This window comes from Homo sapiens, chromosome 14 (genome assembly GCF_000001405.40).
Source record: "Homo sapiens chromosome 14, GRCh38.p14 Primary Assembly".
Taxonomy (NCBI): Eukaryota; Metazoa; Chordata; class Mammalia; order Primates; family Hominidae; genus Homo; species Homo sapiens.
In genome coordinates, this window is record NC_000014.9 from 70,790,748 (window position 1) to 70,803,860 (window position 13,113).

At 45.3% G+C, this 13,113-nt stretch overlaps 1 protein-coding gene across 4 annotated transcripts in view, besides 2 other annotated features; it reads right to left on the reverse strand.

Annotated features, from left to right (window-relative positions):
• The window catches only part of MAP3K9 (mitogen-activated protein kinase kinase kinase 9), an 86,988-nt gene that overhangs the window by 68,222 nt on the left and 5,653 nt on the right, over window positions 1-13,113 (reverse strand). For all 4 annotated transcript variants that reach the window (XM_005267683.6, NM_001284230.2, NM_033141.4 and 1 more), the window contains exon 2: window positions 9,920-10,333. In XM_005267683.6, the coding sequence (XP_005267740.1) occupies window positions 9,920-10,333 (414 nt within the window). The remainder of the gene's footprint in view (window positions 1-9,919; window positions 10,334-13,113) is intronic.
• Window positions 12,698-12,797: an enhancer, noted in NCBI's record as "active region_8664". NCBI's record gives its function as "activates an Ori minimal core promoter by ATAC-STARR-seq in GM12878 lymphoblastoid cells {active_cell/tissue: GM12878}" and the evidence as "EXISTENCE:reporter gene assay evidence [ECO:0000049][PMID:35858748]".
• Window positions 12,878-12,967: an enhancer, noted in NCBI's record as "active region_8665". NCBI's record gives its function as "activates an Ori minimal core promoter by ATAC-STARR-seq in GM12878 lymphoblastoid cells {active_cell/tissue: GM12878}" and the evidence as "EXISTENCE:reporter gene assay evidence [ECO:0000049][PMID:35858748]".

Consider the following 13,113-nt stretch of genomic DNA (forward strand, 5'->3'; position numbering starts at 1 on the left):
TATTGAAGGGGACTCCACAGTAAAGACCTGGGCTCCCTGGACCTGGGATAGAAGCTACATTTTTCTCCTGACTCAACCAGACCACTGACATCACTGCTTTGTGTGCCATCCATAAGTGACCCTGAGCTACATCATCGAAACAAGGTGAAGAACCAGGTTAAGGAATGGAAATTTTTCCAAGAGATGAGGAGGAAAGGAGAAATAGGCAGGCTCTTCTCTCATCTCCTCAGAGATCCTGAAGGACAAATCTTGAACCTGAACAATGACGGTGCCACAGACCACCCGCAAACTGTGGTCAATACCTAGCTCTTACCAGGTTTGGTTGGGAGGGATGTGGGGAAGGGAAGATACAATAAAATGTATTACTTACTTTCAAGGCAATAGTGGCTCAAATCAGAGGAAACAGATCAAAGAGGAAGAGACTAAATACTCATCTGGAAATCAGACCCCACACGCCTTTCAAAGCCTTTCTTGCCCTGAACTCAACCCCTCACCAAGGCTGTTTTCTGCAACTAAAAGCTCATGGTCCAGAAACCCCAACCAAGGCCCTTCATACAGCACAAGCTTCTGCTCCAACTCCAGCACAGCATTATGAGAGCTTAAAAGTTGCCTGGTGTCCTGAGCTACTTGCTGCCCCACTGAGTAAGCTGCAGAGAACCTCCACGGTGATGAAATAGGAAGAAGAGGCAGGCAGAACTCTAGAGCAACCGCTGGGAAATGAAGGCACGTGGCCCACAAAGAGATCCATTCCCCTTACGAATCCTTCTCCACCAACCACAGGAAAGGATGGAGGCAAGAGAATCCAAGCACGCAATTTGCCTCCCAGGAGGCCACACTGTACGGGGCACTGGGCCTGCTGGCCTCACTGCCTGGAACCTCCTTGCCCCACCTTCCCTTTCCACTTTGTCTCCACTCTTGCCTCTCTCAGATCACGTCGGAAACAAAACTTCCTCAGAGAATTCTCCAGCACTCCTCTCGAGGCATGTCCCGTTATCAGCCATGCTCATGGTACTCACCACAGTCTTGACTTTACATTTTGTGCCACTTTATTTTGATCAAGGTCTTTCCCCCTGACCCCACAGGGAGCTCCTGGAGAGGAGGGCCTGTGTCTTTTTTGTTTCCTGCTGTATTCTTAACACCAGGACTTAGACTGGCCCATAAAAGAAAACCAACTTTGTGCAGGAGATGGCCACAAAGGCACAGGACAAAAGGGAAAGGCAAGGTTCCCAAACCACGTTCAAGAACTGAAAGATGCAACAGGACTTGCAAGTCAGATCTCCGGCCTCAATGGTTTCTTCTGCTGAGTCCTGTTCACCCGGCTGGTTATTTGCTTCATTTCAGCTTTATTCACTTACGTATTTATTTTGGCTTGCAGAACATATCTCTGTATTCATAGGAAACGCTACCCATCAACTGAACAGGATGCTCTGAGACACGCCAGGTGGCTGCTAGCTAACCTCTGGCATAGCCTCCTGCAACCAAAAGATAAATCCAATTCTCTGAGCGCTTGTACACTTTTGCCTGGGAAAATCCTCAAAACACATCCATCATCCTCCAACTCTCTGTTAAGAAGGAACATGTGGCAAAAACCACCAAAGGACCTGACTAAGGAAAAAAACAGGGAGTGAAATTCAGAAGTACCTGAGCCAGGTAATGCCAGAAGTATTTCATTTGGAGAGGCCTCCATGAAGCATACAAAAAGTCATTTACTTACCTCTCAAAAAGGACCAAGACTTGGGTTTTCCAGATGATACTTCACTGCCTTCCAGGTCCACTCTGGGAATGTTTTCCTGCCTATTTCATTCTCTTGTAGGAAAAAACTGCTTTTACAGCTACTCCTCATCCTTTTTCGAGGCAAGTCTAATGCCACATCATCCCTGACCAGGGTGCCTGAGCCTTAGCTGCTTCCTCCATCAGGCAGAATGGGCTCTACCATGCGTGCAGGACGACACTAGAGACTGGGATCCAGTGGGTCCCAGGGTGCCACAGGTCTGGCAGCCAGCAAACTCACCAGCCATGAGAAATCCCACACAGGAAAACCAGTCAGGAGCTTTGGCTAGTGTGTGGTCCAGGTATACTCCAGGGCTTAGAATGTTAGAGCCTGCTGAGCTGAGGCCAATGGGAAGACAAAATCTCTATCATCCTCACACTGGTGAAAGCATGTCTTCAGCTTCCTGACCTTGTGAACTCCAAGAGAAGGTTGGAGACGAGGACAAGGTGCAAGTGAACAGAATTTGGAGAGGGAGATGCTACATGGACCTCCAGTTCCAACAGGAGCAGCCAATCCAACAATTCAACAAAACTGGAACAGGCACCATGAGGAGCGTGACAGGCAGTCCCCAAGTTGGGAACAAAGGGAGTACTGAGGTTGGACAGAACAGACTGGGAGTAGACCCGACAGCACCGGGCAGTGGTCGGCTCCAGCAGCTCCTAGCAGCCGGCAACTGGCTACAGTGGAGACGTGGGCCAGTGAGTTAGCCAGGGCTGGTGATCAGGAAAAGTGTGAAGAGGGGAGGAGGCAGAGGCGTTTGGGATTAATAACGAATGTACTGTCACAACACCACACTCCAGCATCCAAAACAGGTGGTTGGGCTCAGACAATTAAGATGGATCAAGGGCCAGGGGACTCTAACGAGGATGAAAAGCAAATTCCATATGGCCGGGCCTGGTGGCTCACGCCTGTAATTCCAACAGTTTGGGAGACCAAAGCAGGTGGATTGCTTGAGCCCAGGAGTTCAAGACCAGCCTGGGCAACACGGCGAGACCCTGTCTCTACTAAATAAAAAATAAAATAAATAAATAAATAAATAATTCCACACAAGTGAGGTCTGAATGACACCCATGGGTAAGAGAAAGGGAACATTTACATTTTGGGATCACGTAAGTAAACCAGTTCACATGATATTTCATTCATTCATTCATTCATTCATTCATTCCTTTTATCTATACATTTATTGAGGACCCTACTATGCACCTGGAACTATGCTGGGAGCTAAAGACACAAAACCTATTTGGAGATGTAAGGGATGCTCCTGAAATCATAGCCAAAAAAAGAGGCCAGGTTGTGTAACTTGGCAGGTTGGCTTACAGGCCAGCACGGTGTTTTGTTTCGTTATGGCCTATGAATGCCTACCAGTGCTTTAAACTGACTCACCCTGGCTGGATGGCAGTTGAACTTGCAGCCATTAGACCAGGGGTTCTAGTCTCTTGTCACTCCAATATTCTTCTACGAACTACCAGGTAGTACACATTCATCAAATGATGACTTAGCACTGACTACAGCAAGGATATGTGATGGGCTACCAGAAGCAGCCAGGTTTGAACTGAGCACAGAAAACTGCGGAAGGGTTGGACAGGCAGAGAGATGAGGCGAGGGCACCCCTGCCAGCAAGGAGGAAAGGGGAGACCAGCTTGGCTAAAGAAGAAAGTGCCTCTAGAAGAAGAGAAGGCAGCAAAGATCTCATGATCATTTAAGCTGACATCTGAAAAGAGGAAGACAGGTGTGCCTAGCCCCAAACCAAATACAGTTCACCACTCACCTCTGCTCTTTCAGCTATAAAGTTAAGAATGAGTTGGTTGAAACCCAAAGAAGGTACAGGCAGGGGATAAATCAAACATTAATGCAAAGTGGATGCTGTGGCCTTGTGAGCAGAACGACGTTATTCCCAATTATATGAAACTAAAGCACTAGGCCACACAGAACAACAATGAAATACCCCAGCTGTCCAACAGGAGTGTGCAGGCAAGAGTGTAGTGATTAGGGCCACAAGCTGACAACACACTGACAGAGGGAGGAGAAACACATGCTACAAGCAATATTTTTGTTAGGCTATTATCTAGGGGTAAAAATAAACATGCAAAAATGCACAGAAAAACTGGAAAAACACACAGTGTTTTTACCCCTGTTTTTCCGTTTTCTTTTTCTTTTCTTTTTTCTTTTTTTTTTCCAAGATGTTGTCTCACTCTGTCACCCAGGCTGGAGTGCAGTGATGCGATCTCGGCTCACTGCAACTTCTGTCTCCTGGGTTCAAACAATTCTCCTGCTTCAGCCTCCCAAGTAGCTTGAACTACAGGCACGTACCACCATGCCCGGCTAGCTTTTTGTATTTTTAGTAGAGACGGGGTTTCACTGTGTTAGCCAGGATGGTCTCGATCTCCTGACCTCGTGATCCACCTGTCTCGGCCTCCCAATGTGCTAGGATTACAAGAATGAGCCACCGTGACCAGCCTCTTTTTCTTTTCCTTTTTTTTTTTTTTTTTTTTTGAGATAGAGACTCACTCTGTTGCCCGGGCTGGAGTGCAGTGGCTCAATCTTGGCTCACCACAACCTCCGCCTCCCGGGTTCAAGTGATTCTCTTGCCTCAGCTTCCTGAGTAGCTGGGACTACAGGCGCATGCCACCACGTTCGGCTATTTTTTTTGTTTGTTCTTAGTAGAGATGGGGTTTCACTATGATGGCCAGGCTGGTCTCGAACTCCTGACCTCGTGATCTGCCCACCTCAGCCTCCCAAAGTGCTGGGATTACAGGCGTGAGCCACCATGCCCAGCCTCTCTTTTTCTTTTATTTATTTATTTTTTTTGAGATAGAGTCTCACTCTGTCGCCCAGGATGGAGTGCAATGTTACAATCACTGCTCACTGCAGCCTCAACTTTCCAGGCTCAAGCGATCCTCCCACCTCAGCCTCCCAAGTAGTTGGGTCCACAGGCATGCACCACCACACCCAGCTAGATTTTATTGTATTTTTTGCAGAGATGGGATTTTGTTGTGTTGCCTAGGCTGGTCTCAAACTCCTAGGCTCAAGAGATCCGCCCACCTCAGCCTCCCAAAGTGCTGGGATTACAGGCTTAAGCCACTGTGCCCAGCCCTTTTCTGCATTTTCTAAGAGAAGGAAAGAGTTATTTAATATGAATATAAAAGTAATGAGAATACCTTCACTTTCAATGTTTTTACTTTCCAAAGCTTTTTCATATTACTTGAATATTGATATCTTTACTTATTTAACTTTTTTCATTCTTTTTTCTTTTTTTTTTTAACAGAGTCTGTCTCTGTCACCCAGGCTGGAGTGCAGTGGCACAATCTTAGCTCACCGCAATCTCTGCCTCCCGGGTTCAAATGATTCTGCCTCAGCCTCCCGAGTAGCTGGGATTACAGGCGCCCACCACCACCCCAGGCTAATTTTTGTATTTTAGTAGAGATGGGGTTTCACCATGTTGGCCAGACTGGTCTTGAACTCCCGACCTCGGGTGATCCTCCTCCCTCAGCCTCCCAAAGTGCTGGGATTACAGGCGTGAGCCACCACACCTGGCCACTTATATAACTTTTAATGGCCACTATTAAACTGCTCTTCTGCCCAATGCCGTTACACCAAGCCACCTACTATACAAAATCCTGAAGTCATCTACCTGCCCCCAAAAGGACAACCTTTCCATTTAAGACCATCTTTCAACAACGTGTTTGCTAACTATCATGTAACTGGTTTTCCCCAATTTGATGGAGAAGAGACACATAAATCCATTTTTATAGCCAGAGGCTTTTTACAAGTAGTTTTAGGGCGTGATGCTTAAGTTAATGATGTGATGTGGTAAAGTAGTATAAACCAGTAGTTAAGCCAGGGGTCTGAGCCACACGTCCCAGGGCCTGGCTAAACTTGTTTGGCTGTATGATGCTAGACATCTGAGGTAACAGTTCATACCGATGCATGTCCTGCATTAAGATTCCATGGTAAGACTGCTAGCTGCCAATTCCTTAGCGGCAATGCCCTTCCTTGATAACAGATCCTGATTCTCAGCTGGGTTCAATGACACCCAGCATAAAAGCCTCCATCTCCCTGTCTCCTCTCCAGCGAGTGATGGCCAGGCGACCACACTCTGTCCAATTAACACAAGCACATACGCCATGCTGGACTTCCGGGAGATTAATGGGAGCCAACTCAGCCACATGGGGCACCTTTTCTGTGCTTCTGCTTCCCCTCATCCTTCAGGCCTGTGACTTGGACCTCATAACTGGCAGTCCAGCAGCCATCTGGACCACAGGGTGACAATGAGGATGGAAGCCAAGTACTGGGATGAGGGAGTGAAAAATAGGAGCCTGGGTCCCAGATGACAATATGGAGCTGCCCTAAAATCCTCCGGGCTTCTTTTCAAAGACAAGTCAGTGTAGACCTTGTTTAGCCGCTGTTATTTGGTTTGGCTTTTCGGGCTACGTACGGTCAATCTAAACTCAATGCAGATTCTGTATCAACATAGGATACTATATGCCATACGCGTTTCACTGCCAGTAAACTGCAAATGACTTTTTAAAGTAGATGACCAAGATAATAAAACATTTTAATAAGACACTTTTTACTGAACCTTTCTAACAGCTAGGGGTTTATCATCAACTGCTTTCTCTTTCCCACAAAGACAGCTCCTGTGTATACATACTCTTTTCTCGAATGGTCAAAGTCAACTAACACATATAATTCCTAGTATTCTGCCCTCACATGACAATGACCAAAATCCAATTCTCTGGAACCCTTAACAAAGCAAGGAAAACAAACCAGTGTTCCCAAGTCTATAAAATACAAAGAAGTTATGGCTCCCAAGCTGGAGGCAATGGGCAAAGAAGTGGCATAACACTTCTAAGATAATTTTAAGCCTGGGCCACAAAGCAAGACTCCCATCTCTATTAAAATAATAATAATAATAATAATAAAATTTTTTAAAAAAAGGCTTGGTGCACTGGCTCACGCCTGTAGTCCCAGAACTTTGAGAGACTGAGGCAGGTGGATCACCTGAGGTCAGGAGTTCGAGACCAGGCTGGCCAACATGGCGAAACCCCACCTCTACTAAAAATACAAAAATTAGCCAGGTGTGGTGGCAGTCTCCTGTAATCCCAGCTACTCAGGAGGCCGAGGCAGGAGAATTACTTGAACCTGGGAGGCGGCGGTTGCAAAGATCACACCACTGCACTCCAGCCCGGGTGACAAAGTGAGACCCTGTCTCTAAAAAAAATAAATAAATAAAATACAATCATTTTCAAGTCATGTACACATTGCAATGGAGTAAGAATGGTGGTATCATCGAGGCTCATATTAGACGTATACAATCCTTGGCAAACATCCACCCACAGACAAACGTCAAAGTGCTACCCCACCACACATGTAAGATTTACAACTAGCATCAACATCAGCGCCAACCATGCAGTCCAATGGACCATAAACATTACTGGGCAGCAACTGTATTGAGAATGTCCTTTAAAATACTGCCGAATGTTTAAGTATTATACAACTTCTGCAATCCTGATGGCTCCCCTTGGCAATCCTAAAACCCACATAAGGAAAAAGAAAGGACCAGAGTTTTGTCTCCTGAATAACAGAATGACACTCAGGTCTCTTGCCCTCTCCTACAAACAGCAGAACCTTAACAGGGTAACTTTTCCTGCATAAGAGCCTCCACTCCTAAATACAAATCTCATAAGAGGTAAAAACGTGTATGAAGAGCTTAAAATTATACTCAAATTCAAAACTTCATCAAGTAAACTATTAACTTTTACAACTTTGTTATCCTAGCCCAACTTTCTAAATGGGTTCAATTATGTAACTTTACAGTACTTTGCCTACTTCTCTCAACATGATAAAAATATTAGAAAAAGTAAAATAAAGAAAATTCAGCTTCTCCATCACATTTTCCAGCAATATAAGCAATCTCTAGGTAGAAATTACTTTGAAAAGAGGTCACCAAAAGTTTTTTTTTTTTTTTTTTTTTTTTTGAGACGGAGTCTCGCTCTGTCGCCCAGGCTGGAGTGCAGTGGCGGGATCTCGGCTCACTGCAAGCTCCGCCTCCCGGGTTCACGCCATTCTCCTGCCTCAGCCTCCCAAGTAGCTGGGACTACAGGCACCCGCCACTACGCCCGGCTAATTTTTTGTATTTTTAGTAGAGACGGGGTTTCACCGTTTTAGCCGGGATGGTCTCGATCTCCTGACCTCGTGATCCGCCCGCCTCGGCCTCCCAAAGTGCTGGGATTACAGGCGTGAGCCACCGCGCCCGGCCCAAAAGTTTTAATTTATTTAAAGAATAGAATTTGAGTGGGGGTGGGGCGGGGATGAAAATCATCATGATAAAGAGACAGGAAAATGGCAAAGGGAAAAAGAGAAACCAGATTTTTTACGTAACTTAAATACTTCACATGCATCATATCTAAAATACATATCTAATGTTCCATACCCTTACAAGAAGGAGTTTTTCTATTATTAAGGGGGAAAAGAACACAGGTAGAAAAGATAAATGTATATTTGTATATGCATAAACCAGATACGCTTTAAAAATGTCGGGAAGGATATGCCAAATGTAATAGTTGTTCTCTCTAAAGGGAAACATTATAGGTTAACTTCCTCTTCTTTTTAGCTGCACTTTCTAATTTTCTACAATAGACACTTACTACTTACATAATTTTTTTTAAGAGATGGGGTCTCGCTATGTTGCCCAGGCTGGTCTCAAACTCCTGGGCTCAAGCAATCCTCTTCGCCCTCAAGCCTCAGCTTCCCCAAAGTGCTGGGATTACAGACATGAGCCACTGCACCCCACCACTACTTACATAATTTTAAAATGTAGTTTTTTTGTTTGTTTTTTTGAGATGGAGTCTCGCTCTGTCACCCAGGCTGGAGTGCAGAGGCACAATCTCGGCTCACTGCAAGCTCCACCTCCCGGGTTCACACCATTCTCCTGCCTCAGCCTCCCGAGTAGCTGGGACTACAGGCTCCCGCCACCATGTCCGGCTAATTTTTTGTATTTTTAGTGGAGACGGGGTTTCACCGTGTTAGCCAGGATGGTCTCGATCTCCTGACCTCATGATCTGCCCGCCTTGGCCTCCCAAAGTGCTGGGATTACAGGCGTGAGCCACCGCGCCTGGCCTTAAAATGTAGTTTTTAAAGTAAACAGATTCACCATAGTATCAACAGAAAAATAAACCACATCTGGAACAGCCTGGAGCAAAACAAAGTCTGAAGGATTTCCAGGCTCAAAGCTGAAGGATGCAAAGAGAGTGAAGTCCCTGGGGGCCCATGCTTCCCCCACCCAAAGTCCTTCAACTCAAATGCCCTCCTCTCTGGGACAGGATGCTCCAAGTGATTTTAAGTACATACCATTATGCAATTGTGTCCTCTTTACCACCCAGTTTAGGCAAGAGAGAGCACAAACTACCACAGAAAAGAAGCGTATTCCTAGCCCTGCTGAGTCAGCCAACGTGAAGGACTGGAGCTTCTACCAACTCACCATTTAATATTTAACACTTGCTTTAAATCCAGTTTATGGATTCTGGATATTTAATAAAGAGTTACTTCTCAGTTCCCTGCTATTAAACACTAGGTAATTATGGCATTTAATTAATACCACCCTTGGGCTACCAGGAGGTTGGTGATATTACCAGGAAGTCATGCTCTCCAAATGGACATCACCACCTGAATCAGCTCACAGTTTAAAGAATAGCATTCTCTTCTTACAGTCCCTTCTGTGATGGGTATCTCAAGTTGAGGTGTTTAGGTAAACATTCAAACAGATAATAAAGGCTTGCTCTACCTCTTGTTCCACAAAGAGGAAAATCCCTTTTGTGATAATATTCACACTTCCCACAAGTTTTGTGCACAGCATATCAGAATTACACATTCTGATATGTGGAAAAATAGTAGGGAAGGCCACTCTAGACTGCTAAAAAAAAAAGCTCAAAATTATCCCAAACTCCTCAGGCGCCTCTTTCCTCTCTTCCTAAACCAATCTTTCTTGGCACTCATCTCACCTCCTACATCTCCATTCAAGGATGGAATGTGTTTAAGCAAGGAGTTTCACTGCCCTCTAAGGTTCCATTAGAAGTCCACTCCTACTGACGTCGTGGGATACAACTGCAACTGCTCTGAGCCCCTCCAGCCCCATCTCTTCATACTCACTGTTGCTGGACTTAAGGTCGCGGTGGATGATGGGAACAATTGCCTCATCATGTAAGTAGTTCATCCCTCTGGCAATCTGCACAGCCCAATTCACCAGGATGTCTGGGGGAATCCTTTTCCCAGATAACACTCTATTCAAAGGTCCTCCACGAGCAAACTCCATGACCAAGCAGAGGTTGGGCTCCTTCAGACATACCCCTCTTAGGGCAATGATGTTGGGGTGCTTCAGCATGGCGAAGAGCTTGGCCTCTTGGCGAACATTCTCTATGGTCTGGCTGATGTCCTCATCAGGGTCGTGGCGAGCTGCTTTCACAGCAACCTCATCCCCTATCCAGAAAGCACGATAGACCTTCCCAAAGCCCCCGATGCCAATAATCTCTTCCAAGGTGAGCTCCGCAAAATCAATTTCTAACACTGAGAAAGGGAAGAAAAAAAGAAGCAAGTCAAAAACATCTTGAAAACATCGTATTTAACCTTTCATTTACCTGAGTGGGTAAACACGGCAAGTTGTCTGTTTACTGGGCCTTTCTGTCTCCCCATTATAAAGCAAATTCCATAAGGGCAGGAACTGCAATCAACTTATTTTCCTTTGCATTTTCCTTAGTGACAGTCACCACATGGTAGGCATTCTATAAACATTCATGAAAAAAAATCCCACCTGGAAAATCATGCAGAATCCTGTACCAAAACCAACTATTGTCACTAAAGGGAATATGGGAGAGGTCCTTTTTTTTCTTTTCTTTCTTCCTTTAAAATACATTTAAATATAGAGATGGGGTTTTGCCATGTTGCCCAGGCTGGTCTTGAATGCCTGAGCTCAAGCAATCCTCCAGCCTCGGCCTCCCAAAGTGCTGGGATTACAGGCATGAGCCACTGCACCTGGCCGAGATCCTTTCTTTGAGACTTACTCAGCTTTACTGTGTACTCAGTGGTGAGAAGCACCCAACTCAGTGCCAAGGCAGACACCCAACAACCAAACCATAGGATGAGAAGAGCTTCTGCAGAAGTATGATTAGAGGCTTAGGAAAATCACTAGCTCCCACAGCAGCACAGAGCACTAAGGGGGTGAGTGGGGAAAGGATTCTCAGGGAAGGCAACATTTGAAATTGGCCCTAAAGAGTGAGTGGGAGAGATCTCAGGCGATGAAGGAAATCAGGGCAGGGAAGGACAATCAGGCAGACGGAAGGACAGGAGCCAAGAACATGGAGTACGAAGTATACGGTATATTAGGACCTCCAGGGAGTCTGCTGTGGCCAGGTCATGTGCATCAGGATTGGAGACGAGGCTCAAAGCCTTGTTGAGGGTAACCAGGCCAGGAAATGTCTTTAAAGCCATTCTGAGGGGCTTGAACATCACATTGTAAACAAGAGGAGTCATGTATCTTTCAGAAAAGGAATGTTGTTAGACCTGTAATTTAGAAAGGAAATCAACTCTGGCAGCCACTGGAAACTAACCTGGAGGACACAGACCCAACAGCAAAAGGACCCCCTAAGGAGGCCTTGCAGCTCAGAGGTCTGAACCTCAGCAGCAGTGAATATAGGGAGTACGCAGTCAATTTGGGAGACTTTCAGAACTTGGTTCTACCTGGACCTGGAGACTGAAACATGGGAAAGGAGCCTCATAAGAGATATCTTACTCCAGCAGTCATCTGTGCCTCAGTTCAAGCCCTGATGATCCCAGTATCCCACCCAGTATCCCAACCAATCATTCTCCTTCCCAAATCCAGAATTTGAACCTAAGGTACTTGATTATATATTTTGTTGTGTGTGGAAAGGCTTTCATGGGTAGATAATAATAGCTGCCAGTGATTATAAAGCGAGCTACATGTGGTGCTAAGTGCTATATGAGCAAAGTGTGTTTTGTTTCTTGCATGAAACCCTGTTCTCTATCTTCTTTTTTCTTTTGTCTTTACCTGGCTGATTCATACTCATACCTCAGGTCTTAAATATCAGTTTCATAGTGGAACTTCTCCATCACCAAGACCAAATGAGGTCAGGCCCCTATCAAACACTTCCATGGCAGTTTCCATTCCACAAGAGGCATCAAGATTATAATTACTTAATTACTTGTTCAATGCCTATTGTCCAGGCCAGATTATGAGACCCACAAGGGCAGAGATTCTGTCTGCCCTATTCACCACTGCACTTGCCATGCCAAACATTTTGTAGGTAACCAAGAGATCCTTGAAATAAAATGGAAAAAAAATCTACTTGATATGGTTTGGATATTTGAACCCTCTGATTTTCATGTTGAAATGTAAGCCCCAGTGCTGGCGGTGGGGCCTGGTGGGAGGTGTTTGGGTCATGAGGGCCGATCCCCCATGAATGGCTTGGCACCCTCCTCACAGTAATGAGTGAGTTCTTGCTCGAATTCACACAAGATCTGGTTGTTTAAAAGAGTGTGACACCTATCTGGTTTTTCTCTCTTGCTCCTGGCTCCCACCACGTGACATGCCTGCTCCCACTTCACCTTCCGCCATGAATAAAAGCTCCCTGAGGCCTCACCAGAGCCAAGCAGATGCTGGTGCCATGCTTCCCGTACAGGCTGCAGAACCGTGAGCCAGTTAAACTTTTTTTCTTTATAAATTACCCAGCCTCAGGTATTCCTTCATAGCAATGCAGGAATGGACTAACACACTATCTCAGGAGGAAATAAACCAAATTCAGATCTTAAAAAAAAAAAAAAAAAAAAAAAAACTGAACTGGAACTAGACCTTCTGAAACAAATACAGAAAATAATCACACTTCACTGAAAAAAAAAAAACTAAGAAAACAAAGATACATTTCTGAACTTTTGGCAAGACCAAAAGAGGAACTGCCACTGCTGACTATTCCCTTCCTTACTCAGCCAGCCCTGTAACGCCTCCGTTCTCCACTCAGATGCTGGTGGTGCTAAAAAATCTGTTCTTGCTTAATTATAGCACCTCTATCCCATCTGAGGTTAGCCCATCTGTATTTTGTAATGCAACTGGCAGTCTGCACAAAGGAAACTCTTAGGTGGATGTTAGTGGATAGTCTTTAGATATACAAAAAGTATAGCCCATCCTGACCTCAAAATTCCAACTGTTTAAAGAGGTTATCACCTTATCCAGCAATCTTCCTGAAGAATGAATGTCATGGCAGAACATTGTAGACTAGCAATCGGCATCCATTCCATAATCCTTCTAGCACAAATTTCAGTACTACAGAGGCTAG